The 26,669-nt window shown below is 40.9% G+C and overlaps 1 long non-coding RNA gene and 1 pseudogene across 1 annotated transcript, besides 1 other annotated feature; both read left to right on the top strand.

Moving 5' to 3' along the window:
* On the top strand, positions 12,692-15,965 carry LINC00691 (long intergenic non-protein coding RNA 691). The gene is made up of 2 exons (NR_026834.1): positions 12,692-13,359; positions 14,393-15,965. It is a non-coding gene; the product is annotated as a long intergenic non-protein coding RNA 691 (long non-coding RNA).
* On the top strand, positions 18,476-19,520 carry NPM1P23 (nucleophosmin 1 pseudogene 23; annotated as a pseudogene).
* Positions 20,693-21,281: an enhancer, noted in NCBI's record as "NANOG-H3K27ac-H3K4me1 hESC enhancer chr3:24136149-24136737 (GRCh37/hg19 assembly coordinates)". NCBI's record gives its function as "activates a minimal SCP1, AML or CMV promoter by ChIP-STARR-seq in primed H9 embryonic stem cells {active_cell/tissue: H9 hESC(primed)}" and the evidence as "EXISTENCE:reporter gene assay evidence [ECO:0000049][PMID:30033119]".

Genomic DNA, 26,669 nt, shown 5'->3' with positions numbered 1-26,669 from the left:
AGAGCAAGACTCCATCTCCAAAAAAAAAAAATAAAGAAAGAAAGAAAGAATTTATCTACTGGCTCTCACATTATCAAAAATAGGGCTAACTTCCCTCCATGTCTAGGTTATATGTACCTGGCCAAAGAGCAGGTCCCGTGGTGCTTCACACTTCAGGAGCTAAAGCAATCCCGCACATGGGGAAACTTGGTCTCTACTTCCACAGATGGGCATACCCCACCTTTACTGGTTGGCAGATCAGGTGGCAAGTGGGGTGAAACAAGTGGCCCTGGGCCCTGAGGAGATAAGTAGAACTTAGAGGCTCTGCAATTTTCTGATACAAGGGCTCCTTCAGCCAACAAGTTCTTCCAATTATCTGTACATGGGCCGTCAGGTTCCAAAGAGAATCATGAAGCTCAATAGACAATCAAACTTAAATTTCACTGTACCATGGACCTGCCTGTATAGGGGCTTTTAATGTAATATAAACTGGTTATGTAAATTAATTGTCCTCTTAATTGCATTTTCTTGCAGTAAAAAATTAAATACATGTAAACTAATCTTTTAATTACACTACCTTAGTTTTTCTTGTAGCTGTTTCATTACAAGGGCAATTTTTTCTATATGAATATCTATCTGAAAGTTTTATAGAAGCCAATAAAATTTTTTTATTTTTCCATATAAAACTTCACTTGGCATAGACATTTTTGGAAACAATGCGTATAAAGAGTAAAGTCAGAAGAAGCTGAAATAAACACTCCTTTTCTTTCAGGACAGACTGATAATGTCCTGTATATTTTGTTTTAACTTTCTTGTACATAACACCAATAGCAATGAGGAAGATGCATATAGAGTATAACATCTTCAAGTTACAAATCAGAAAATTCTTATGCCCACAAATCCCAATGGATACAGAGATATGAAAAACACTCCTCAGTTTGACCCTAAGTCCTAGAAAGAGGCTGTAGCCTTATCTGTTGCAGATATTCAGGTGGGTTTGCATTCCAAGGATTTTATGATTTCTCCAATGGGAGTTTTTAGCTCTAAAGAGATCTTTTAGGATATCTTTCCACTACATAAAGTCAAGGCCAAGTAGATTCTGTGTAATAAGTTACATCAAAAGATGAATAACCTGCCAGGTGCAATGGCTCATGTAACCCCAACACTTTGGGAAGCTGAGATGGGAACGTCGCTTGAGACCAGGAATTTGAGACCAGCCTGGACAACATACCAAGACCCCTGTCTCTACAAAACGTTCTAAGAAAAAAATTCACCGGGCATGGTAGCATGCATCCGTAGTTAGCTACTTAGAAGGCTGAGTCAAGAGAATCCTTTGTGCCCAGTTCGGGGCTTTAGGGACCTGGGATCATACCACTGCACTCCAGCCTGTGTGACAGAATGAGACTCTGTCTCTTAATAAATAAAAAATAAATAATAAAATAAGATGAAGAATTTGAGATCACCAAAGATTTTTCATTGGTAAGTGAACTACTTTGTGAGAATCCAGTTGAACATTTCAGAAAATTCACCTCTGTTTCCCCCAGCACTTTGACAAAAGTTCCATTCATTGTTACTTTCCACTCAAGAGTCCCAGCAACCACCCCAAAGGATGCGCTAGGTGTTTGTGCTGCCTCCCAGAGTTCTTCACTATCTTGTTGGAGTATGTAACAATTGCCCAGCATGTAATGAACACCTAACACCTACTCTATGCCAGAAATCATACTAGACCCTTTATATTACCTCTAATCCTCCAAACAAATATGGAAGTAGGTGTTAGTATTCTCATTTGGCAACAGGGACATGGGACTCAGTGTGAATAGGCAACTTATCTAAGATGACACTTTTGCCAATTGTCAGAGATCTTGGGGTTCTAAGACCCATGTTCTTTTTACAACCTGCACTGAGACCAGGGTAAAGCCTTAGCCCCTTACAAAAACAAAAAAGCAAGTCTGCTCTGGAAATATTTGTCATTTCCCTTCCTAAAAGGTTCACCTACTCTAATGCAAAAAAAAAAAAAAAAAAAAAAAAAAAAAAAAAAAAAAAAAAAAGTACATTATAAAGGAAGGTTACCTGACCTCTCATTAGATTGTGTCCATGCAAAACCACTCATTGGTGTTGCAACATAAAATGTAATTTCTCTTTGTAGGACCTATGTATAACCCAGCTGGCTACTAGATATGTCAGTCTGACAAGAGGACATTTAGTTTGCTAAGCATTTGAGGGTCTGATCAAGTTTTGGGAGAGCCAAATTGCTCTGCATAATTGAAAAAGAATTTACAGTAATGGAGGCTGGAAGTGGGGAGGGAAAGCAAACAAGATGACAGGAACACTTATGTTTCAAGATGTGACACCATACTGTAGCTCTCTCAACTTTAGATAATCATCTTATTAGCAAATGCATGATGCAGATGAATTTCTTGTGGAAACGAACGAAAAGAGACATTCAGGTATCATGTTTATATAGAACTGGTGAGCGCCAAAACAAAGGGGATCTTAATAATGTAATTATCCCAGAATGCATAGGATTCTGGGGGTTATTTTGTCTAATTTAAAGAATTGAGAGAAGAGTTTTTCAAAGCAGTTTCATGTAGCTCTAGCTACATGAAGAGAGGGCTCTAGCTGACATCTGGTAGATACGTTTACTTAAGACTGTACTTAGACGTGGGAATAAATTAGTAAATTGAAGGTTCTTGTGGAATTTTCCACAGGAAAGCAATAATAAAAGCCCAACTTTCACTCACACCTGCAATTAAAGGAAAACAACAAGTCTTAAACAAAACATAGCAAAACAAATTCAGATCCATTAAAAAGAGAATTTTTTATGATAAGATATTTGCAATATCTGAAATGTCACAGAATTAACGTCAGGAATATGCAGGTAGATTTTGCAAATCAACAAGAAAAATACATAAAATGCCATAGTAAAATAGAATATTCATAGAAGGAGAGGCCCAAATGGCTAACAAGTATATCAAGAGATCCCCCACCTCACGAGTAATCAGAAATATGAAAACTGACATCGCTCTATACCCGCAGATTAGGTAGACAGAAAATACCAAGCATTAACAGGAATATAAAAAGATAAGGACCCCATCTCCCGCTAGTGAGAGAGGGTTCAGCCCATTTTTCCTAGAGCCAGGATTCCCATTCTGGGAAAATACCTCAAGCTCTTACAGAGACCTATAGGCATAGGAATCCTAGCATCACATACTTTGCAATATTAAGGAGCTGAGTTCAGAGAAGGCAAGAGGAGATAAATACTGGGTGGAGGGATACCTACCATGGAAATCACTGCAGCATAGAAAGCATTGAAATAGACCTGCATATTGAAACTTGTAAAAACAACAACAACAAAACAAAAAGATCTATAACACAATACTATTTATGTAAACTGCAAACACAAAGGAGTACCATACATTTTGCATGGAATCATATATAACCAAGGACATACATCAAGCACTTTACACTGGGTGCCTGTATAGAAGAGATGAAGGGAAAAAAATGAAATAAATTGTAGCCATCATAAAATACAGAGTATGATTATCTCAAGTCCCTGCGCCTAAGGCCATTCCCCCACAAAACTGCCAGGTTTTAACCATCTCTTTACTATCTCTTCCCTGAGTCACCCATGTTGTAGCAGTTACTGCAAGAAAATGGACATTAAATGATTGGATAACAGAATCCTGGGTGAGAAGCACAATCTATGGCCTTGGAGCCAGGAAGATGACATTAAAAATGGCCTGAAGATGACATGGGAAGAAAAGAGAGAAAAAAAAGAGAAAGCAGTAGACAGTCCTGGTTGATAGATGGTCTTCCAGCCGCAGAATCTATTTTTCTAATTGACAATATTGAATGTGAAACTCCAAAACGTAAAAGAGAAAAGGCCATTCAGCCACCCCAAAGTCCCCAAAGTAAATCTGTCTCTAGGGATCCCTAAATCTCCAGTAGAGTTCTGGAAACCTCTGATCTAGAAATTCTTATATGTTTAAGCCAAGTCTAGGTGCTGAGTGTGTGAGTCAACTTTATTTAAAGGGCCAGAGTAGAGCCACTAAGTCTCCTTTGCATCATCACCAGTCTACAGAGACACTGGACCTAAGGCTATGCTGCCTGGGACAAGGATGAGGAAACCTGAGAGACAGTCTTTGCTGCCACTACTCCTACTTTATCCTCTAAAATCCAATTGACAATGTCTTTCATTTTTATGGGCCTGGTATTGAATGTTCAATTTGTTTGTGTCATGAATGTGGGTTAAGCAAGTTTAAACTATCTGTCTCTTCCTAGTTTCCCCCAGTCCAGAGGCTTATGAACCAGTACCCAACCCATTTCATATGGGGAATGACCCAAGGAATTGGGAACAGTTAGCCTGTAGAAGACTTGAGATGGCATTCTAGTTCACACCCAAGCTAGCTGCCAGGTGGAACAGAAAATCAATTTGTTCTGTGCTGCTTCCAAAGAGTATAGCCAGGATTAATGAATGGATAAATGGATACTACTCAGAAGTCAATATCAGCTCAAAAGAAGGGAGAATTATATCGCAATTAACTGCCTACAAATGCAAATAATGAGTTCCCCCATCACTCAAGGTGTTCAAGCAAAGACTGAAATATCATGACAACGAGGTTGTAAGAAGGCTGGAACCTCAAATAAATGACCTCTCAGATCTGCTTCAGCCCCAGGTTGTATCACGACCATGACCATGTCCTCAGGGATCAGCTTTTAGGCTGTCTCTGCTGCTGTATTTTATGTTCTCTACAAGGAAACATGGGAGATCAACCTCAGTTAGATTTCACTTCTGGTGCCACTTACTTTGAATGTATAATCATTCCCTGCAAAAGCAGATGAGCCAGTAAAATAGCCTACCATCTGCCTCTCCATGTTTTTTTTAATAACCATTCCACTAGCTCCTGAGAAAACCTTCTCTGTGCAGCCATGAATCAGACAAGCTGATTTGAAACCATTATCAGAGAGAATGATGTGCCAGAATCAAAGAGCAACTCTAAAGTGAGAAGAAATATAGAAAATAAATTCTAGGATAGTCTGATACACTGGGGACATTTCTTTGCCGTTGGTTCATTAGAATGATGTCAAAAACCACAGTAGTTATTGAGTCTCCATCATAAAAGGAATCTCGATTTAATTGCCTTTGGTTGAGATTCTGCACATGGGTTGTTTGCTCAGGCACGAATTTATTTTGACCAAAATTAGTCTTAATCAGCTTGGCTGACTAATGATATAGCCCAAAATCACAGCCAGTGGGCAGTTTGAGAGGCTTCTCTGACAATTCATGTAGCAGAGACAAATAGAACTTTTAAAACATGTTCCTCAAGGAGTTAATTCTTCTTCCACGTTTCAGAACACTTTCATTCAATGCCATGGTGATTCCATGCAAAGGTATCTGGGAAATGGGAAGTGCACTTTGACAGAGGGGTGCCTTAAAATAGACAGGGTAAGGGGGTTGTATTTTCTGTTCTTCTTATAAGATCTCAGCTACTCCTGCATGGGCGCCTCATGAAGCTTTAGAGCTAAGAAACTGGCTTATTTTGAATGTCTATCAGAAATGGGCATAATTAGATTCTGACCACTTTAAATTACTGTGGATTATAAGCAAAACTAAAAATGTGCTGGTGCAACTTCTTCCTCCAAAATAGTGATTACGAGTCACATATTTACAAGGATTGATGACATCCAGCTTGTCATAAAAACATTGCAAATGCAATCAGTTTCATCATCTCCAGGAATCCTTTCATTCCACATCCAAGTGCAGCTTCTTTCTCTCCAAAAATAAGACCATATATCTCCCTGAAAAAACAAAATGCACAAATACATCTGATACAGACAGGGATACTGGGGCAAGAGTGGCAAGGAGAAAGAAGTGCCATAATTCCAAAAGGCATGGTGTCCATGGCATACAAAAATAAAACCACTGACTCCAGAGATTCAAAACCAGTATATCCTTAACTTAAACCAAGTATCCCTGGGTTTCTGAGAACTTATTCTCAGATGTTAACAAAATGTTTATTAAAAATTTTTTTAATCTCCATTTTCATTCCAAAGTAATTTTTAAAACTTACATATATTTTTGCTATTGTGAACAGTACTGCAATAAACATACTTGTGCATCTGTCTTTATAGTAGAATGATTTATAATCCTTTGGATCTATACCCAGTAATGGGATTTCTGGGTCAAATGGTATTTCTGGTTCTAGATCCTTCAGGAATAGCCACACTGTCTTCTACAAGGATTGAACTGATTTACACTCCCACCAATAGGGTAAAAGCGTTGCTATTTCACATCGTCTCCAGCATCTGTTGTTTTCTGACTTTTTAATGATCACCATTCTAACTGGCGTGAAATGGTATCTCATTGTGGTTTTGATTTGCATTTCTCTAATGACCAGTGATGATGAGACATGGATGAAGCTGGAAACCATCATTCTCAGCAAACTAAGACAGAAACAGAAAACCAAACACTGCAAGTTCTCACTCATAAGTTGGAGCTGAACAGTGAGAACACATGGACACAGGGAGGGTAACATCACACACTGGGGCCTGTCAGGGGATGGGAAGCTAGGGGAGGGATAGCATTAGGCGGGTTGATGAGTGCAGCAAACTACCATGGCATGTGTATACCTATGTAACAAACCTGCACGTTCTGTACATGTATCCCGGAACTTAAAGTATAATTTAAAAAAAACTTACATATATTTTTTATCATCTAGATCAACTCAAAACCAAATAAAATTTCAATCATTCATTTGTATTCATGTTGACAGTGCCTAAAATGATAATTACCTGCCTTTAATTTTTGCAAGCTAGTGAGGACAAAAGAAAAGCAGACAATATATAAATGATACAGTTCACACCCAAACCCACAGAATCTGACTCACTGGGTCCATGAAAGGTTAGTAATCAATAAGAGAAAAGATGTGGGCAGCTTCAGTCCTGAGGATATTGTTCAGGACTTCCCAAATTTGAGGCATCTAAGAACCACCTGAGAGGCATTTGGCACATATACAGGCACATTTTTAAAACGAGATGTATTATGCTTACAATAATGTTTTTCAATTAATAAATTAAAACAGCACAATTGTTTCATCAATGAGAGAAGCTATTGTTTGAGATCTTTCCCCAGGTGTCTTTATCTACCTTGATGATGGATAGCTTGTGCTGTAGGTGAGATTCTTCTAGAACAAGGCAAATTTTCTTGCCTGAGACTAGAAAACATTCTCTTGACTATTGAAGGGAGAAGGAGAACATTCTCTTGACTATTGAGGGGAGAAGGAAAACATTCTCTTGACTATTGAGGGGAGAAGGAAAACATTCTCTTGACTATTGAGGGGAGAAGGAAAGTGAAAGAAACTTCAGTTAAATATGGGGCAATTTGAGAGTGAAGAAGACTTGGACTCCCATTCTTGGGCTGAGGCTATGAAGACAGCAAGACCCCATAAAAGAAATGGACATGTGATGTATGAGTTCTCCAAGCCTCAGAGTAACAAGGAAATGGCAGGATAATTTCACGATGTTGAGAGAGACCCAAAGTAGCCTGAGTTTAGATAACAACCACAAAATTTCCCAAAGCTCAATTTGATAGAGAAATAATAGAATCATCATATGAACAGGGCCATAAGAATGGCCCAAAAATTAGCTGAGAGAAAGAGAAAACTTGACATGAAAGAGCTTGCAGTCAGGCATGAGGAGCAAAGCTGGACCCTGCGTGGATCAACAGGGGAAGACAACGTCTCAGCTGATGCCATTGTGGACTGTGGACTGACGACATTACAGACTAGCTGTCGTCACCCACGACTTGACACCATAAGAAAATTTTCCCAGATTTTAATGTGCATCAAAATTATCTAGAAAGCTTGTTATCACAGATTCCTGAGCCCAGCCACACAGTTCCTGATTCAGCAGGCCTGGGGTGGAGAGTGAGAATCTGCATTTCTAACAAGTTCTCAGGTGATGCTGATGTTGCAGCTCTGGGAACCACACTTGGAGAATCGCTGTTCTGTTGCATCCTAACCCCCTGACTTACATGAAACTCAGATAGAAGAAGGAACCCCCAGAATAATGGAGCTCATGCTGGGAGTATATTGATGGGAAGATAAAGATTTACATTTCTCATACACCTGTGCATAAAGACTAAGGCTTGTGTCCGTCATGGAGATATGAGCAAATGGCTTTGTAAATCTCTATTTGATTATTTTCTCTTCTGGAAAGCATCACGTCCCTATTTCACTACAATATTGAATGTAATTATTAAATATACCCAGTAACATAGTGATGTACTTCTTCAACACTTAATGAAAAAAGGTCATTAAGTGTTAAAACCCACTGTCCAGTATAAAATATTTTAAATAAATTAAAGACAAGATAACAATGTTTCTTCTAAAACACATTCTAGCAAGTCACTTCTCAGCTCAATATTCCCCTGTTGCTTCCTGCTTACCCAACTAAGATCTTCAGGCCCTCACACTGTGGCCTGCAAGGCTGTACAGGGCCTGGGGCACAGTTAACCCCCTGTCCTCTTTCCCTATACTCTCAGCTCTCTCACTCTGCCCTGGCTACACTGAACTATCTTCTGTTCCTTGAAAAGCCCAAGGACATTCACACTTCAGTACTCTGTGTACTGTTCCCTCTGCCTGAAATAGCAGCCCCTGAGCCCCTTCCATCCTTTCCATCAGGCCTCCACTCAAATAGCACCTTATCAGGAAGGATTTTCCTCTTCACCTGAAAAAATCGCTCCCTTTACCTTTATCTTCCTTCACTCTCCATCTGCTCTACCCTGGTCTGCTATTCTTCCCATCCCTTGTCATGGCCTGATATACTTCATATTTTAGATGTTTTTATCTTTTAATTGTCTACTAGAATGTAAACTCCATGAAAGAGGGAATTTGCTTTGTTTACTGCTATATCCCCTGGAAGTATCTGGCACATACCCTCACTCAGTAAGTAATTGTGAAATGAACGAAGAGAAAGAAAGGTCCAGCTGGCCCAAGGTACCAACAACCCTATGCCTACCAACACCCAAAGAGGCCTGGGGGAAAACAGCCTGACCAGCATGGCAGCCCCAATTGTTTCTGCATGCCCACCTTCCCCTTTCTCTTTCACCACCAAACACCCACCCACTTGCACTAAGGAAGAACTATACATGTGCTATTTGCAAGAAAGAAAGGAGGCAACAACCCAGGGTGAAGTGAACTGCATATTGGAAAGCCAGGGACAAGGAGAGAATTCTTGCTCCACCTGAAGTAACCCACCCTCCGGTGAGAATGCAAAAGAACCTCCTGTGAGTCCATGGCCCCAGGATAGCCACAGTGACATGTGAGTGGAGAGACATCCTTCCAGACATTTTTATGTGACTAATACACAGGCATATTAATCACTGTTTCAACCTTCAAAGTAGACCTGGTTCCAGACAAAGATCTCTAGGAGTTCATCCATAAGGAATATAAAATCTCAAAATTAGACCAATAGAAGAGACAGGAATGGGGCGAGTGAAAGGGGTTACACTTCAATGATATTTTCCATAGGCTTTCTGGAAGCTGAGAATTTCCCTGCTCCAAAGCCCACAACCATAATTGTTTTTGATAAGTAATGTATTTAAATAAGTAATGTCAAAGGGGTCACATTTTTTTTTTCATTCTCAGCTTTTATCAGAAACACGGAAGTGCCACAATTTAGCCCTCCATTATCACCATCTTCCTTGGAGACGCTGGAGAACTTAATGAGTTGATCCTTTTGTATGAGCAGAGAGTTCAAATTGAAAGAATTTTTCCAATGAATCACATTAAAATTTATTCCAAATGTCTTTTTACATGTGGACTTTTAAAAAAGAGATTGAGTTTTCCAGAATCAAAATGTATCTTCTTCCTTAATACAGTGATAAATTCCCACTGAAGCTGCCTAGATTATACTTCAATGAAACCAAAAGTCCAGAGAAGCTGCAGAAAAGAGATTGAAGTGACTTTCAATTTAAAGTAATTAGGAGTTCAGAAAAGGCAACCTTTCCGAATGTCAAAGTTCTACAGACTCTTAAGTTTTGAATTTGGAAATTTAAAACACTGTTGTGTTAAGTGGCACTGAGACATTTCACAAATGAACAAATTCTTAATTTTTCTACTCCTTTCTCTCCATCCATTCCTACCACAGGGGCAGATACATAGATGGTTTTTAGAAATATATGTAAATGAGTGGATGAATACATACATATCTTTGCATACCCATCAGAAATCTCAGCACCTTCTGGACATTTTTTAATATTAAGTTTGCATTTGTTATCTTGTGAATCATAATAAAAGACCAATGTGGTATAATTATTTTTCCAAGAGCCCTCCCAGTAGACAGCAACATATGGTAAAAAGATCATGGGCTTCAGAATATAGATACAGATTTGAATCCTGGTCTCACTACCCCTTGTTTCCTTACATTAGATGTTTAACTTTCTTTTACCTCAACTTTCCTGTTTGTGAAATAGGAATAATAATACCTATTTTGTGTTGGGAGAGACAGTTCTCTCCATGGATCTCTCAAACCCATATGCAGCGCGTAGGGTATGCCAAGAATCCAAGGCCCTGTGTACTCTTTACCCAGGCTATTTGTCAGGGTTGTGCTTGCAGTGAGCAACTTGAGGGACAAAGTAATGTCTCCCACCCTGGAACAAAGAACACAACTACTTACTACTTGCTATAAAAGTAGTAGATTCTTCAAGCTCAATGTTCCTTGGCTATGACACAAACCCACTGTGCGTATAGTATACCTCTGGATCTGTGTCAGCTTGCCCTTTGAATCTTAGTAGCAAAGGGAGCTGATGCTGATGCTCTTTGCTGTGATGGTGAGTAATAAAGTTCTTTGTCTCTGACCTAGGAGTCTCAGGTCTTTGGCTAGCATCAGAAATAAGAGACTAATACTCGCTGGAAAATACATTTTAAACATTAATAGGTTAATTTATTAGCTTGTAAGTAGTGTAAAAGAAAACCCCTCACCTGACATTTTACAGAACTGTTGAAAGGCTAGATGCAGTAGCCTAAATAAAACACCTGGCACTGAATAGGCACTAAATAAACACACACACACAATTTTCCTTCAGCATCTCATTTAACTTTCCTTGACTATCTTAGATAAATAGTTCTTGACAAAATCATGATGGTGGCCAGGCATGGTGGTTCACGCCTGTAATCCCAGTACTTTGGGAGTCCGAGGTGGGTGGATCACCTGAGGTCAGGAGTTTGAGACCAGCCTGACCAATATGGTGAAAACCCGTCTCTACTAAAAATACAAAAGTTAGCCTGGCATGGCAGCGTGCACCTGTAGTCCCGGCTACTCGGCAGGCTGAAGCAGGAGAATCGATTGAACCCGGAAGGCGGAGGTTGCAGTGAGCCAAGATTGCGCCACTGCACTCCAGCCTGGGTGACAGAGCAAGACTCTGTCTCAAAAAAAAAAAAAAATTCATGATGGCAGGAAGGTTGCTCCTTCCTTTGCCTTTCCCATATAATATCTCATATCCATCCCACAGGGAGTGGTAAAGTAACCAAATTCTCCTACAAGGGCTTATAGCAGTTACCTCTCTGGAGGTATAAGTGCCTGTAATAGAGGAAAACTGAAGAAGATGCAAGCCATGGGTCTCTAATAATGAAATTTCAAACATTGGGTGAGAGTAGATATTTGGGGGCACATCTATACTCTTCAAACTCAAACACAACTTGCCACATTCATTACCCTTCCATCCCGACACCGGATCCTCTGAAGTTTACTTCACATCAAGGGAGGGGAAGGATGGAAATTTTAGAAACAGAGTTTATGCCAAAATACAAAATCATTTTCTGATAACTGAGACGATCTATGTGATGCAAAAGAATGTAACAAAACAGACTTGTCACTGGATGCTTGTAACCTGGTCTTTACCTCCAAACATACCTAGAAACAAAAAGGTGCCTTGCTCTCTGCATTAGTTTTCTATTTCTGCTATAACAAATCACCACAAACTTGGTGGCTCAAACAACACAAATTTGTTGTCTGACAGTTCTGTAGATCAAAAGTCCAACGCAGGTGTCATTAGGCTAAAATCAAAGTGTCAGCAGGGCTGGTGCCTCTGTGGAAGCCCTAGGACAGAATCTGTCTCCTTGCCTTTTCTAGCTTCTAGAGACTATGCTCATTTCTTAGCTCCTGGTCCCTTTTCCCCATTCCTGGCAGGTCAAGCTCTTCTGACACTGCCATCTCTCTGGTTTGCCATAGCCAGAAAAGATTCTCAGCTTTTAAGAACTCCTTTGATGACATTGGGCCCACTGGGATAATCTAGGATAAGCTCCCAATCTCAAGGTCCTTAACCTTAATCACATCTGCAAAGACCCTTTTGCCAGATAAGGTAATATTCACATGTTGGGAAGCGGGGGATGATTAAGATGTAGAATAATTAGGACTAATTGGGACTTGGAGGGGCATTCTTCTGCTGACCACACTTGGCTTCTAGAAGCCTCCTGAGATTGACTCATTCCCAAAGATGTTCAACTTGACCATTTCTCAAGAGCATTAAAATGGCTCTAAAGGTAAAACATTTCTACCGTGGTGAGGCAAATGAACAGTGCCCAGTGATAGGGCATCTTTAATTTTTGTTTTAATTTCTATACATTACCAGAAAAAAATAATTACAGGAATGTTTCTGAGATTCTAAGGGAAGCCACTCAGTGCCAGTAACCATGGTGATGGAAATTCTGAGAAGAATGTTAACTTCCATTATGTGAGAGCAGATGAAACCAAAGCCTTGGGCCCACACAGCAAACCTTTGGGTAGCAACGAGTTCTAGAAAAATGGAGCCTAAGGAGTCCAGATTGTTTTTCCTTGAAATACCAAGCAAGTCTAAAATGATTACTACCCATGAGATATATTTTTAATGATGTTAGGTTTGGGGGTGTGTTAGATTGTTTTGCATTGCTATAAATGAATACCTGAGGCTGAGTAATTTGTAAAGAAAAGAGGTTTATTTGGCTCACATTTCTGCCTGGCAGTGGCTATAGTTGGCTTCTAGTGAGGCTTCAGGAAGCTTTTACTCATGGTAGAAGGCAAGGGGGGGGCAGGCATGTCACATAGCAAGAGGAGGAGTGAGAGAGAGAAGGAGGTGCCAGGCTCCTTTAAATTGTAAACTAACAGCAAGAACTCACTCATTCCCATGAGGAAGGGACCAGGCCATTCATGAGGGATCCTCCCTCATGACCCAAACACCCCCGACTAGGCCCTACCTCCAATTCTGAGGATCACATTCCAACATAAGATTCAGAGAGTGAAAACATTCAAAGTCTACCAGGAGGTGATTAAAGTGATATGACAATGTGAGGTATATGTTACCTGGAAGGTAGTAGGAGCAGATGGTGGGAAGAAGAAAAGTGTGTAAGTACCTTGGAGATAACACTCACAGGAAAATCTATTCATTCAAAAATATTTATTGAGCACCTCTGTATGAAAAAAGGCACTGTGTTAGGTGCTGTAGGCTTGAGGATAAATTAATCAAGAAGCCTATCCTGAGGGAATTTGCACTGTAATATTGGAGATAAGAAACAAATCATTCTTTGAGCATAGGAGATGAAGAGAGCTCTCTAGAGCAGTGCTTCTCAAACTTTGTTGCCCACGTGTCTTGTTAAAATGCAGATTCAGTAGGTCCAGGGTAAGGCCTGAGATTCTACGTCTTTAACAAGCTCCCAAACAATGATAGTGCCAGTGCTGCCAGTCGCAGGACCATGCTTTCAGTGGCAAAAATCTAGAGCAGCATTTCTTATACCTCACTGTGCTTGAGAATCACCTGGGGAAACTTCACAAACAAAAGATGCCCAAGGCTCCTCCCACATATTTCAGTTATAATGAGCTACAGTGAGACTCTGGCAACAGTATGTTGTGAAAGCTCCCATTATGATTTTAATATGCAGCTAAAGACTGAGTACTGTTAACACAAAGCATTACAGCTGTTGAAAAATCTTGGGTGTTTGTTCTTAAAATGTGGGCCCCAGACCCACAACATGAGTAATTGCAGGGAAACTGGTCAGAAATGTAAATTCCTGGGCCCTGCCCCAGGCCTACTGAATCAGAAACTGGGGTGGGGCAAAAAAAAAAAAAAAGTGTTTGAACACTTTCCAGATGATTCCAATGTGCAATCAAGTTTGAGACCCACCAATCTAGGGCAGCTGTTCCACACAGAGATGCACATTCGAATCAGCTGGAGTGTTTCAAACACACAGCTGTCCTCGCCTCACTCTAGTTCCTGAAGCAATTGGTCTGCAGTGGAGTCCTGACTTGGATATTATTGAAAACATCCACAGATAGCTCAGATGTGGCCCCAGACCAAGAACCACTGATGGAGGGTGTTGCCCAGCAAAATTATCCCCTTCTCTTCTCATTCATTTATTCATTTGTTCCACACATTTCACAGAGCAACTACCCAGTCCTCTGCATGAAAGAGCCCTCCCTCAAGAGCTTGGAAGCAACACAAAATGGGGAGTAGACCAGGTCTACTATCAGCACAGAGATAAGAGACTCTGAACAGAGAAGACGGATCCAAGGGGGACAGCCTGGAGTCGGGGGACCCAGCTGGAGGCCAGCACAGTTGCCTGGGCGAGAGGTGAGCCCTCCCTCCTGGAGAGGTGAGCCCTTCAGAGGAAGAGATGAGAAACGGAAACCCCTGACTCATTACCATCGGCCTTGGCTTGCTGTTCCATTGGCAGCCCTTTCTACCTGTGATCAACACATGCCTATCTAGCAGCATACTAACTCTGTCTCTCATTCTAGAGCACGCATCCGCCCAGAGTTAATAAGTTTTAGAATGTCGGCGTCCTGTCATTGCATCATCCACAGATTCAGTGACCAGAGAGGAAGAAACACAGGGAAGCTTTATATTAATAAAGGTCTTGCGTTGAATATTCCTAAGCAACTGTCAAAAGTAAGCAGTTCGTATGCTTCTTTTCTGGTGACAATAATAGACTGGGCCCCATCCCTTCCCAGAGCTCCCGATAAGCAACTGGATCCAGTCTCCACTCCAGAACCTGAATGGACTTTTTGCTCAATACAGCTACTGCTGGCCAGTCAGCTTCATGGGACATGTGCCAAGAGGTCTTCCATTCCATCTTGAGTAAACAAATTAGAGTCCTAGCAAAAACTCTTCCCATGAGCCCTTTAACTGACCTAAATTCAACATATGTCATAATCTAGGAGGAAGCACCAAAATGGAAAACTACTTTAATTCACAGAAGCTAAAGGAGCAATTGTAATGTAAGTGGTTTCTACAAAGTATATATGCAGGATCAGCAAGCATGGGAAACGCACACCAGCCCCTGCAGGGATTCTGGGCTACGAGTGCATGAAGGCAGAGTCGAGACTGTGGATTCTGGAAGAAGAATCCCCTTGAGAGAGCATCTGATTCAAAATTCATCCATATATGACTTAAAAGCCACCCAGGTTGTCATATCATCTGTAATGATTATTCACTAGAGCCAAGAGTGTTTATATTCTGAAGATCAGAACAAGATTCCCAACAAAACAGTAAGGGAGCATTTCAGGGAGCAGTGGGAATATGTGTGGGATGAAGCCAAATTATAAAGTCATTATTAGGGTGGGTATGGTGGCTCACACCTGTAATCCCAACACTTTGGAAGGCCAAGGCAAGAAGAGCACATGAGCCCAGGAGTTCAAGTTCAGCCAGAGCAACCCTCAGGCTGAGGCAGGAGGGTCACTTGACCCAGGGAGGTCGATGCTGCAGTGAGCTATGGTAGCACCACTGCACTTCAGCCTGGACAACAGAGTGAGACCCTGTCTCAAAAAAAAAAAAAAAAAAGTCATTACTTTAAAGGGCTTCCAAAGTCTATATAGAATGAACTGCCAGCAGCCCAAGGAACTATAAATGGAGCTCCATGTATTTATGCAAATGTTGAGGGCATATATTCATTTCAAAGAGTGTTTGGTTCCTGCTGTATTATCAATGCCTGTCAGTAAAACATAATGTTTAACACTATCTGGGTTTGAGTCCTGATTGCTACTAATTGACATGAGACCCTATGCAAGGTCCTCACTTTTCTCATCTATAAAATGCGAATAATAATAACAGTAACATCTACATCCTAAAGATTTTTGAGGCCGGGCATGGTGGCTCACTCCTGTAATCCCAGCACTTTGGGAGGCTGAGGCAGGTACATCACCTGAGGTCAGGAGTTCAAGATCAGCCTGGCCAACATGGCAAAACCCCATCTCTACTAAAAATACCAAAGTCAGCTGGGCGTGGGGGTGGGCACCTGTAGTCCCAGCTACAGGCTGAGGCAGGAGAATCGCTTGAACCTAGGAGGCGTAGGTTGCAGTGAGCCGAGACCGCACCACTGCACTCCAGCCTGGGTGACAGAGCGAGACTCAGTATTAAAAAAAAAAGATTATTGAGACAATGTATTAATATATAAGGTTATTAATACTGTATTGGGCATATTATAAGTACTCAATAAACTATGTCTAATACTATGATCCTTTCCAGGAAACTAAGGTTCTCAGCATGTCCATGGAGGCGGATTACATGGATCAGGGTAATAATATAATCCCAGCTACTTGGGAGGCTGAGGCAGGAGGTTTGCTTGAGCCCAGGAGCTGGAGGCTGCAGTGAGCTATGATTGTGCCACTGCACTCCAGCCTGGGCAACAGGAAGAGACACTGTCTGGAAAAAAAAAAAAGAAAAGGAAGGAAGGAAGGAGAAGGGAAGGGAAGGAAGGGAGAAAGAAGCATTGAGAGATGAAATCATCATTAAATAAGCATAGTAAACAGTAAATTAAAGAACAAAAATTCAACAATTCTGAATTATATGCCCCAAACAACAGATGAACATAACACATGCAGTTAAATGAATATCTGAAATTCAAGAAAAACAGGAAGAAATAGATTGAAATTACAGAGCTAACTATTCCAATATAAAAATAGCCAAATGTATCAGTTTTTGAGATTTTTCCATCTGCCTGGTACCGCTCTGAGCACTTTACATACATCGTCTCATTTAATCCTCACAACTCCATGTGGTAGGTATTGTTATTATCGTTCTCCCCATTTCACAGATAGGAAAATAAGACCTTAAAAAGTTAAGTGACTTTGCCAAGGAAACTCAGCTAGTAATAGGTGAAGCTACGACTGAGACTCAAGTCTGTCTAACTCCACAGCCCATTCTCATAACCACAGTAGTGTGTTGCCTCTCAGTATGAAATAATCAGAAAGTTAATAATCAATAAATAATAAAATAATAGAAGACATTGCAGAGTTGATCAAGAGAATCAATCAGTTAGACAATGGAGAGAGGCAAAAGGTAGAATAGAATATACTTTTTTTTAAGAATATAAGGATGTATACACATTTATCATATTATGGATGAAGGCAGACAAAAAGAAGTCAGAAAGTCTAATATTTCACAATATTAAAACAATAAAATTAAAAATTAAAGTTCAATCAGATTTATGTCAGCTTTATTTATAATAGCCAAAAACTGAAAACAACCCAAATGTTCACTAACTGAATGGATAGGCAAACTGTGGTGTGTCCACATGATGGCATACTATGCAACAATTAAAAAAAAAAAGAGCATTGTGTTGATACATGCAACACACTGACGGATCTAAAAAATCTGATTTTGAGCAAAAGAAGCCAGACACAAATGACTACATGCTGTACGATTGCACTTATACGACATTCCATAAATGGTAAAAACTACAGGGACAGAAATCAGACCAGTGATGCCAGGAACCAGGAATAGGAGAGGAAGTTGACTGCCAAGGGACATGGGGAACTTCATGGAGAGATGTAAGCGTTCTGTATCTTGATGGTGGTGGTTGCCACACAATTTTTTTTTTTTTTTTTTTTGAAACGGAGTCCCACTCTGTCGCCCAGGCTACAGTGCAGTGGCATGTCTTAGCTCACTGCAGCCTCCACTTCCTGGGTTCAAACAATTCTCCTGCTTCAGCCTCCTGAGTAGCTGGGACTACAGGTAAGCACTGCCACACCCGGCTAATTTTTGTCTTCTTTTTTTCTTTGAGACGGAGTCTCGCTCTGTCGCCCAGGCTGGAGTACAGTGGCATGATCTCAGCTCACTATAACCTCTGCCTTCCGGATTCAAGCGATTCTCCTGCCTCAGCCTCCTGAGTACCTGGGATTACAGGGGCGCACCACCACGCCTGGCTAATTTTTGTATTTTTAGTAGAGACGGGGTTTCACCATGTTGGCCAGGATGGTCTTGATCTCCCAACCTCGTGATCCACCCGCTTCGGCCTCCCAAAGTGCTGGGATTACAGACGTGAGCCACCACGCCCAGCCGGTTGCCACACAATTTTACACACTTGTAAAACCTCATTAAACTCTTTGGTTAGAAAAGGTAAATTTTATTGTATATAAATCATATCTCGGTGAACTAGAGTTTTTCAATGCATGCAGAATATAAAATCTCTACATCACATAAAAAAATTTTAAGTGCCTAAATACTTCCTACATCAAGAAAATAATTCTGTGCCTGGTGTGATTCTGTCCCGCACAGCTGTTCTCTGGAGCGGTAGTTGTTTATCTCCGTCTGCCTTCTCTCTCACCGAAGTGTATGTCACCACCCCAAGGAAGATTCAATGGACATGGACACAAGCCCCCTGTGGCTCCAGAACTATCTTTTGGTTGTGAACTAAAGGCCGATGAAGATGATCGGTTTCGGGTGGATAATGATGAAAATGAGCACCAGTTATCTTTAAGCACGGTCAGGTTAGGGGCTGTGTAAAAGATGAATTGCACATTGTTGAAGCAGAGGCAATGAATTATGAAGGCAGTCCTATTGAAGTAACACTGGCAACTTTGAAAATGTCAGTACAGTCAACGGTTTCCCTTGGGGGCTTTGAAATAACATCAGCCGTGGGATTACAGTTGAAGTGTGGATCAAGGCCAATGCATATTAGTGGGCAGCACTTAGCAGCTGTGGAGGGAGAGGCAGAGTCAGAAGATGAAGAGCAGGGGGATGTGAAACTCTTAGGTATTTAATATATCTGGAAGGCAATCTTCCCCTGGAGGTAGCAGCAAGTTTCCACAGAAAAAAAAGTAAAACTTGCTGCTGATGAAGATGATGATGATGATAATTTTGATGATGAAGAAATTGAAGAAAAAGCTCCAGTGAAGAAATCTATATAAGATGCTCCAGCCAAAAATGCACCAAAATCAAACCAAAATGGAAAAACTCAAAACTATCAAGACCAAGATCAAAAGGTCATGAATACTTCAAAAAAAACAGGAAAAAACTCCTAAAAATCCAAAAAGGACCTAGTTCTATAGAAGACATTAAAGCTAAAATGCAAGCAAGTACAGAAAAAGCACATTGAACAGTCCTGGGCAATACTGCAAAATTAAGTCCAAAGATGGGGACAGAGGAAAGAGAAATATAGTCCATGCTGAGTATCATCAGCCATCCAGACTGAAGTCTTCTGTTTTAATCTGAATCCCCTTTTCTGATTTGCCAGCCATGCTCCTTCCAGGCTGGAAACGAACTCACTCTTCATGTCCTAAAGCACTTTCTTTTGACAGCTGTGATTCTGTGAACCTAGCCCCTTGCTTTCTGTTACTTGCACATTTGCCTCACCTCTCTGACCATGTTTTAATCACCTTTGGGTCTCCTTGGCTGCTCAATAAATATTTGAATGAATCAAAAAAGAAAAGAAAAAAGAAAAAAAGTCCCTATACTACAGAATATTTTGAAATGATATTTCTGTATTAAAATTGATGGAGTATTGCCACAGCAGTGCTTAGAAAAACACTCATTTTTCTAAATTAGGGAAGAAAGAAAAAAACACCATAAAAGCAAAGCCTTTATCTGCTAAGAGGCTAAAGTGAAAAGCCAAAAGAAAATAGTAAAATGAAAATAATAAAACTAACAACATAAATGAACAAAATGCTTATAAAGTTGAGTTGAGGCCGGGCACAATGACTCATGCCTATAATCCCAGCACTTTGGGAGGCCGAGGTGGGCAGATCACTTGAGGCCAGGAGCTCAAGACCAGCCTGCCCAACATGGTGAAACCCTGTCTCTACCAAAAATACAAAAATTAGCCAGGCGTGGTGGTGTGTGTCTGCAGTCCCAGCTACTCAGGAGGCTGAGGCAGGAGAATTGCTCGAACCTGGGAGCTGGAGGTTGCAGTGAGCAGAGATCACTTCACTGCACTCCAGCCTGGGCAACACAGCAAGAGACTCTGTCTCAAAAAAAAAAAAAAAAAAGTTGAGTTGGTAAATCAAATTAATAGTTGGCTTTTTAAAAATTAATAAAGTTGAGGACATGTTCCAATTAACAAAAAAAGGAGAATTGGCAAATTTATCAAAAATAATAAAATGCAGGGAGATAAATTAACAGAAAAGGGAGAATTGGCAAATTTATCAAAAATAATAAAATGCAGGGAGAGAAATAAGATATCAGCAATGGATAGAAACAACCATTTTAAAGTAGGGATGAGGGAGGAGGAGCCAAGATGGCCGAATAGGAACAGCTCCGGTCTACAGCTCCCAGCATGAGCGACGCAGAAGACGGGTGATTTCTGCATTTCCATCTGAGGTACCAGGTTCATCTCACTAGGGAGTGCCAGACAGTGGGCGCAGGCCAGTGGGTGCACGCACCGTGCGCGAGCCGAAGCAGGGCGAGGCATTGCCTCACCTGGGAAGCGCAAGGGGTCAGGGAGTTCCCTTTCCGAGTCAAAGAAAGGGGTGACGGACGCACCTGGAAAATCGGATCACTCCCACCCAAATATTGCGCTTTTCAGACCGGCGTAAAAAACGGCGCACCACGAGACTATATCCCACACCTGGCTCGGAGGGTCCTACGCCCACGGAATCTCGCTGATTGCTAGCACAGCAGTCTGAGATCAAACTGCAAGGCGGCAGCGAGGCTGGGGGAGGGGCGCCCGCCATTGCCCAGGCTTGCTTAGGTAAACAAAGCAGCCCGGGAGCTCGAACTGGGTGGAGCCCACCACAGCTCAAGGAGGCCTGCCTGCCTCTGTAGGCTCCACCTCTGGGGGCAGGGCACAGACAAACAAAAAGACAGCAGTAACCTCTGCAGACTTAAATGTCCCTGTCTGACAGCTTTGAAGAGAGCAGTGGTTCTCCCAGCACTCAGCTGGAGATCTGAGAACGGGCAGACTGCCTCCTCAAGTGGGTCCCTGACCCCTGACCCCCGAGCAGCCTAACTGGGAGGCACCCCCCAGCAGGGGCACACTGACACCTCACACGGCAGGGTATTCCAACAGACCTGCAGCTGAGGGTCCTGTCTGTTAGAAGGAAAACTAACAAACAGAAAGGACATCCACACCGAAAACCCATCTGTACATCACCATCATCAAAGACCAAAAGTAGATAAAACCACAAAGATGGGGAAAAAACAGAACAGAAAAACTGGAAACTCTAAAACGCAGAGCGTCTCTCCTCCTCCAAAGGAAGGCAGTTCCTCACCAGCAACGGAACAAAGCTGGATGGAGAATGATTTTGACGAGCTGAGAGAAGAAGGCTTCAGACGATCAAATTACTCTTAGCTACGGGAGGGCATTCAAACCAAAGGCAAAGAAGTTGAAAACTTTGAAAAAAATTTAGAAGAATGTATAACTAGAATAACCAATACAGAGAAGTGCTTAAAGGAGCTGATGGAGCTGAAAACCAAGGCTCGAGAACTACGTGAAGAATGCAGAAGCCTCAGGAGCCGATGCGATCAACTGGAAGAAAGGGTATCAGCAATGGAAGATGAAATGAATGAAATGAAGTGAGAAGGGAAGTTTAGAGAAAAAAGAATAAAAAGAAATGAGCAAAGCCTCCAAGAAATATGGGACTATGTGAAAAGACCAAATCTACGTCTGATTGGTGTACCTGAAAGTGATGCGGAGAATGGAACCAAGTTGGAAAACACTCTGCAGGATATTATCCAGGAGAATTTCCCCAATCTAGCAAGGCAGGCCAACGTTCAGATTCAGGAAATACAGAGAACGCCACAAAGATACTCCTCGAGAAGAGCAACTCCAAGACACATAATTGTCAGATTCACCAAAGTTGAAATGAAGGAAAAAATGTTAAGGGCAGCCAGAGAGAAAGGTCGGGTTACCCTCAAAGGGAAGCCCATCAGACTAACAGCGGATCTCTCGGCAGAAACCCTACAAGCCAGAAGAGAGTGGGGGCCAATATTCAACATTGTTAAAGAAAAGAATTTTCAACCCAGAATTTCATATCCAGCCAAACTAAGCTTCATAAGTGAAGGAGAAATAAAATACTTTACAGACAAGCAAATGCTGAGAGATTTTGTCACCACCAGGCCTGCCCTAAAAGAGCTCCTGAAGGAAGCGCTAAACATGGAAAGGAACAACCGGTACCAGCCGCTGCAAAATCATGCCAAAATGTAAAGACCATTGAGACGAGGAAGAAACTGCATCAACTAACAAGCAAAATCACCAGCTAACATCATAATGACAGGATCAAATTCACACATAACAATATTAACTTTAAATGTAAATGGACTAAATGCTCCAATTAAAAGACACAGACTGGCAAGTTGGATAAAGAGTCAAGACCCATCAGTGTGCTGTATTCAGGAAACCCATCTCACGTGCAGAGACACACATAGGCTCAAAATAAAAGGATGGAGGAAGATCTACCAAGCAAATGGAAAACAAAAAAAGGCAGAGGTTGCAATCCTAGTCTCTGATAAAACAGACTTCAAACCAACAAAGATCAAAAGAGACAAAGAAGGCCATTACATAATGGTAAAGGGATCAATTCAACAAGAGGAGCTAACTATCCTAAATATATATGCACCCAATACAGGAGCACCCAGATTCATAAAGCAAGTCCTGAGTGACCTACAAAGAGACTTAGACTCCCACATATTAATAATGGGAGACTTTAACACCCCACTGTCAACATGAGACAGATCAACGAGACAGAAAGTCAACAAGGATACCCAGGAATTGAACTCAGCTCTGCACCAAGCGGACCTAATAGACATCTACAGAACTCTCCACCCCAAATCAACAGAATATACATTTTTTTCAGCACCACACCACACCTATTCCAAAATTGACCACATAGTTGGAAGTAAAGCTCTCCTCAGCAAATGTAAAAGAACAGAAATTATAACAAACTGTCTCTCAGACCACAGTGCAATCAAACTAGAACTCAGGATTAAGAATCTCACTCAAAGCCACTCAACTACATGGAAACTGAACAACCTGCTCCTGAATGACTACTGGGTACATAACGAAATGAAGGCAGAAATAAAGATGTTCTTTGAAACCAACGAGAACAAAGACACAACATACCAGAATCTCTGGGACACATTCAAAGCAGTGTGTAGAGGGAAATTTATAGCACTAAATGCCCACAAGAGAAAGCAGGAAAGATCCAAAATTGACACCCTAACATCACAATTAAAAGAACTAGAAAAGCAAGAGAAAACACATTCAAAAGCTAGCAGAAGGCAAGAAATAACTAAAATCAGAGCAGAACTGAAGGAAATAGAGACACAAAAAACCCTTCAAAAAAATCAATGAATCCAGGAGCTGGTTTTTTGAAAGGATCAACAAAATTGATAGACCGCTAGCAAGACTAATAAAGAAAAAAAGAGAGAAGAATCAAATAGACACATTAGAAAATGATAAAGGGGATATCACCACCGATCCCACAGAAATACAAACTACCATCAGAGAATACTACAAACACCTCTACGCAAATAAACTAGAAAATCTAGAAGAAATGGATACATTCCTCGACACATACACTCTCCCAAGACTAAACCAGGAAGAAGTTGAATCTCTGAATAGACCAATAACAGGAGCTGAAATTGTGGCAATAATCAATAGTTTACCAACCAAAAAGAGTCCAGGACCAGATGGATTCACAGCCGAATTCTACCAGAGGTACAAGGAGGAACTGGTACCATTCCTTCTGAAACTATTCCAATCAATAGAAAAAGAGGGAATCCTCCCTAACTCATTTTATGAGGCCAGCATCATTCTGATACCAAAGCCGGGCAGAGACACAACCAAAAAAGAGAATTTTAGACCAATATCCTTGATGAACATTGATGCAAAAATCCTCAATAAAATACTGGCAAACCGAATCCAGCAGCACATCAAAAAGCTTATCCACCATGATCAAGTGGGCTTCATCCCTGGGATGCAAGGCTGGTTCAATATACGCAAATCAATAAATGTAATCCAGCATATAAACAGAGCCAAAGACAAAAACCACATGATTATCTCAATAGATGCAGAAAAAGCCTTTGACAAAATTCAACAACCCTTCATGCTAAAAACTCTCAATAAATTAGGTATTGATGGGACGTATTTCAAAATAATAAGAGCTATCTATGACAAACCCACAGCCAATATCATACTGAATGGGCAAAAACTGGAAGCATTCCCTTTGAAAACTGGCACAAGACAGGGATGCCCTCTCTCACCACTCCTATTCAACATAGTGTTGGAAGTTCTGGCCAGGGCAATCAGGCAGGAGAAGGAAATAAAGGGTATTCAATTAGGAAAAGAGGAAGTCAAATTGTCCCTGTTTGCAGACGACATGATTGTTTATCTAGAAAACCCCATCGTCTCAGCCCAAAATCTCCTTAAGCTGATAAGCAACTTCAGCAAAGTCTCAGGATACAAAATCAATGTACAAAAATCACAAGCATTCCTATACACCAACAACAGACAAACAGAGAGCCAAATCATGAGTGAACTCCCATTCACAATTGCTTCAAAGAGAATAAAATACCTAGGAATCCAACTTACAAGGGATGTGAAGGACCTCTTCAAAGAGAACTACAAACCACTGCTCAAGGAAATAAAAGAGGATACAAACAAATGGAAGAACATTCCATGCTCATGGGTAGGAAGAATCAATATCGTGAAAATGGCCATACTTCCCAAGGTAATTTACAGATTCAATGCCATCCCCATGAATCTACCAATGACTTTCTTCACAGAATTGGAAAAAACTACTTTAAAGTTCATATGGAACCAAAAAAGAGCCCGCATCACCAAATCAATCCTAAGCCAAAAGAACAAAGCTGGAGGCATCACACTACCTGACTTCAAACTACACTACAAGGCTACAGTAACCAAAACAGCACGGTACTGGTACCAAAACAGAGATATAGATCAATGGAACAGAACAGAGCCCTCAGAAATAACGCCGCTTACTTACAACTATCTGATCTTTGACAAGCCTGAGAAAAACAAGCAATGGGGAAAGGATTCCCTATTTAATAAATGGTGCTGGGAAAACTGGCTAGCCATATGTAGAAAGCTGAAACTGGATCCCTTCCTTACACCTTATAAAAAAATCAATTCAAGATGGATTAAAGATTTAAACGTTAGACCTAAAACCATAAAAACCCTAGAAGAAAACCTAGGCATTACCATTCAGGACATAGGCATGGGCAAGGACTTCATGTCCAAAACACCAAAAGCAATGGCAACAAAAGCCAAAATTGACAAATGGGATCTAATTAAACTAAAGAGCTTCTGCACTGCAAAAGAAACTACCATCAGAGTGAACAGGCAACCTACAACATGGGAGAAAATTTTCGCAACCTACTCATCTGACAAAGGGCTAATATCCAGAATCTACAATAAACTCAAACAAATTTACAAGAAAAAAACAAACAACCCCATCAAAAAGTGGGCGAAGGACATGAACAGACACTTCTCAAAAGAAGACATTTATGCAGCCAAAAAACACATGAAAAAATGCTCATCATCACTGGCCATCAGAGAAATGCAAATCAAAACCACTATGAGATATCATCTCACACCAGTTAGAATGGCAATCATTAAAAAGTCAGGAAACAACAGGTGCTGGAGAGGATGTGGAGAAATAGGAACACTTTTACACTGTTGGTGGGACTGTAAACTAGTTCAACCATTGTGGAAGTCAGTGTGGCGATTCCTCAGGGATCTAGAACTAGAAATACCATTTGACCCAGCCATCCCATTACTGCGTATATACCCAAATGACTATAAATCATGCTGCTATAAAGACACATGCACACATATGTTTATTGCGGCATTATTCACAATAGCAAAGACTTGGAACCAAGCCAAATGTCCAACAATGATAGACTGGATTAAGAAAATGTGGCACATATACACCATGGAATACTATGCAGCCATAAAAAATGATGAGTTCATGTCCTTTGTAGGGACATGGATGAAATTGGAAACCATCATTCTCAGTAAACTAACGCAAGAACAAAAAACCAAACACCGCATATTCTCACTCATAGGTGGGAATTGAACAATGAGATCACATGGACACAGGAAGGGGAATATCACACTCTGGGGACTGTGGTGGGGAGGGGGGAGGGGGGAGGGATAGCATTGGGAGATATACCTAATGCTAGATGACGAGTTAGTGGGTGCAGCGCACCAGCATGTCACATGTATACATATGTAACTAACCTGCACAATGTGCACATGTACCCTAAAACTTAAAGTATAATTAAAAAAAAAAAAAAGTAGGGATGATAATATTCTAAACTATGTATGAATAATTATTATCAATACTCTATGGATAGCTGCTAAAGTATTAAATACTAAAATGGGTCACAGCAAAACAGAGAACACAAATGCACAAATAAACTAATCACAGAAGTAGAAACAGTTATAAGAAGTTTATGCCCCCCTTCAAAATGGTACTAATGA

This window comes from Homo sapiens, chromosome 3, assembly GCF_000001405.40.
Source record: "Homo sapiens chromosome 3, GRCh38.p14 Primary Assembly".
NCBI classification, from domain to species: Eukaryota; Metazoa; Chordata; class Mammalia; order Primates; family Hominidae; genus Homo; species Homo sapiens.
Note: the sequence above shows the minus strand (reverse complement) of the source record. Positions and strands in the feature narration are given on the sequence as shown.